This window comes from Homo sapiens, chromosome 1, assembly GCF_000001405.40.
Source record: "Homo sapiens chromosome 1, GRCh38.p14 Primary Assembly".
Taxonomy (NCBI): Eukaryota; Metazoa; Chordata; class Mammalia; order Primates; family Hominidae; genus Homo; species Homo sapiens.
Genome location: NC_000001.11, coordinates 84060996 through 84064841, shown reverse-complemented (window position 1 = coordinate 84064841; position 3846 = coordinate 84060996).

Below are 3846 nucleotides of genomic sequence, written 5' to 3'. Positions count from 1 at the left end.
CATCCCTAGGCCCCCAACTGATCGTACGGTGCCTGCCCACATTGAGAGTGGGTCTTCTTCTGTCAGTCCACTGACTCACAGGTTAATCTCTTCTGGAAACACCCTCACAGACACATCCAGAAGCATCCCCCAGTTCAGTCGAGTTGACACCTGAAATAAACCATCACATATGGTTAGACTTTTTATTTCCTTTCTAGTATTTCTGAAGTATTTAATATTTTATCAGCTTTATTAAAGATAGTTGACATATTTAAGTGTGCAATAATTTTTAAAATTTATGTACACACAAAACCATCAGTACAATTACAATAATGAATATATTCATCACCTTAAAAAGTTTCCTCTTGCTCCTTTGTAATCTTTCCCTCATGCCCCTCCTTGCCCACCAAGTCCTAGTCAATGATGTGCCTGCTTTCTGTCACTATAGTTTAGCTTGCATTTCATTGAATTTAAATGATGGGCTCAAGCAGTATGTATTCTTATTTGGTATGGCTTCTTTCACTCTGCATAATTATTTTTAGATTAATCCATGTTGTTTCACATATCAAGAGTTCACTGGTTTTTATTGTTGAGTAGTATTTCATTGTATGGCTATGTGTACACATTCACCTGCTGATCAATATTTACAATATTTCCAATTTTGGCTATTACAGTAAAGCTACTGTGAGTATTCGTATACAGGTCTTTGTACGATTTTATGCTTTCATTTAACTTGGGTGAATCCTAGGAGTAGAATGGCTGGATCATATGAGACATATATGTTTAATTTTTAAAGAAATTGCCAAGCTGTTTTTCTAAGATAGTCTAACATTTTACATTCCCAACAGTATGAGGGTTCTAATTGTTCCACACTCTCACCAGTACTTTAGTATGATCAATCCTTTTAATTTTTAATTTTAGATATTCTAACAAATGTGTAATAGTATTCTATTATGGTAATAATTTACATTTAGCTAATGATAGTAATCTTGAGCATCTTTTTCTGTGCCTACTTGCCATCCATGCATCTTTTTTTGGTGAAATATCTATTCAAACATTTTGCCCACTTTTATTGGGTTCTCTATTTTTATTATTGCATTTTGAGAGTTCTTTATTCTGAATACAGTTATTTTATCAGATGTTATTTGCAAACATATTCATTTAATCTGTGGTTTATCTTTCATTCTACTAATACTGTCCGTCAAAGAACAGAAGTTCTTAATTTTAACGAAATTCAATTTATCATTTTTTTTCTTTTTTGGATCATGATTTTGCTGTCATATCTAACAAATTTTTGCTTAGCACTAGGGCACAAACTCCAAGTACAGATGGCTTCACTAGTGAATTCTACCAAATATTTAAGAATAAAATAATACCAATTCTACACAAAGTCTTCCCCAAAATTAAAGATGGGGATATACATCTTAACTTATGCTATGGCACCAACATTACTCTGTTACCAACACCAGACAAAGATGTTACAAGAAAGAAATCTACAGGCTGGGCACAGTGGCTGACGCCTGTAATCCCAACACTTTGGGAGGAGAAGGCAGGTGGATCACCTGAGGTCAGGAGTTCAAGACCAGCCTGGCCGACATGGCGAAACCCCATCTCTACTAAAATACAAAAAAAAAAAAAAAATTAGCCAGGCATGGTGGCAGGCACCTGTAATCCCAACAACTCAGGAGGCTGAGGCAGGAGAATCACTTGAACCCGGGAGGCGGAGGTTGCAGTGAGCCAAGATCGCGCCATTGGACTCCAGTCTGGGCGACAAGTGAGACTCTGTCACAAAAAAAAAAAAAAAAAAAAAAAAGAAATCTACAAACCAGTATCAATTACTAGCATACATGCAAAAATTCTAAATGAAATGGTAACACATTAAATCCAATAACATATAAAAGGGATAATACATCATTGCCAAGTGGGGCTTATATCAGAAATGCAAGATTATCTTAACATTTGAAAAGCAATCAGTGTATTATAATTTACCATATTAACAGAGTAAAATGTTGAAATCATAATCATCCCAATAGATGCAGAAAATCATTTCACAAAATCCAATTTCATTTCTGATTTTAAAACAACTTTCATCTAGGAATAGAAGGGAACTTCTTCATCCAAATGTATGACATCTACCTAAACCCTTAGGCTAACAAGTGTTGAAACATCAAATTCTTTCTTCCTGAGATCAGAAACATGATAAGAGTGATTGCTTTCACCACTTCTATTTAACATTTTACTGAAAGTTCTAGTCTGTGCATTAAAATTTTTAAAGTTCAACTTACAGTAGCATCAAGTATATTAAATACTTAGGAATAAATGTGACAAAAGAGGTTCAAGACCTGTAAACGTAAAACTATAAAATATTGCTGTGAGAAGTTAACACGGTGGCGTGGTGCCTCATGCCTGTAATCCCAGAACTTTGAGAGGCCAAGGTGGGTGGATCACCTGAGGTCAGGAGTTTGAGGCCAGCCTGGCCAACATGGTGAAACCCCATCTCTACTAAAAATACAAAAATTAGTTGGGCATGGTGGCACATGCCTGTAATCCCAGTTACTCAGGAGGCTGAGGCAGGAGAATTGCTTGAACCCTGGAGGGGGAGGTTGCAGTGAGCCGAGATCGCGCCATTGCACTCCAGCCTGGCGACAGAGTGAGACTCCGTCTCAAAAAAAAAAAAAAAAAAGTTAAGGAAGAGCTAAGTTAATGAAGTGATAAGCCATGTTCATGCATCAGAAGACTCAATTTTGTTATGATGTCACTTCCTCCTAAAATTTATCTACAGATTCAATGGATTCCCAAGCAAAATTACATCACCTTTTTTTTTTCATTGACAAGCTGATTCTAACATTCACATGGAAGTGCAAAGGATTTAGAAAGAATAGCTAACACAACTCTGAAAAAGAAAAAGCAAGTTGTAACATATACACTGCCTGATTTAAAGACTTATGATAAAGCTTCACTAATTAAGATAGTATGATTTTGGTGTAAAGACAGACATGTAGTCAGAAATAGACCCATACGTATACTTTCAGTTGATTCTTGACAAAGGTGCAAAAGGTTCAAAGGTACATTTTGAGTGAAGAAAGGAATATCTTTGAAACAAACTGCTGTAACAGTGGATATCCATCTTTTAAAAAGAACTTTGATCCATACCTCATGCAAAATACAAAAGTTAACTCAAAATGTATCATATTCCTAATGAAAACCTACAGCTGTAAGAGATTTTTTAGTTAGATTTTGTTATTAATTTCTACCATTGTTGCGCTGTTGTCAGAGTACATTTCCTGTGTTATCTCATTCTTCCAATTTGTTTAGACATGCTCTATGACCAAGTTAAATGGTCAAATCTTATACCTGTCACAAGTCAGCATGAATGAAAAGAATGTGTGTTCTGCAGTTATTTCGTTGTGTTTCATATATGTCTATTAAGTTAAATTTGTTAATCATGTTCAAGTGTTGTATAAGCTTACTGATTTTTGGATACTTAATCTAGCAAATACTGATGGAGGGTAATAAAATCTCCCACTACAGGATGATGGATTTGTTGATTTTTCTTTGTAATTTTCCCAATATTTGCTTTCTATATTTTTAAGATAATGTTACTAGAAGCATCATGTGATAGAGTTGACCTCATTCATTCATTTAGCTACATTTCCTGAGCTTGTGTGATCTGCCAGTTCAGTCTAAGAGAAGAGGCAGATAAGCAAACTCTATCTAATGCAGTGTGTGTTTCTAATGCACAGTGTTATAAGTATACAATGGTTTTTGTGAAATCACTGAGAAGGAGGGTATTTAACTCTGACTTTGGGAAAAACTGCTCAGAAAAAGGATTGCTACACTTGAGCATTGAAGTGGAAGTGGAAGTTG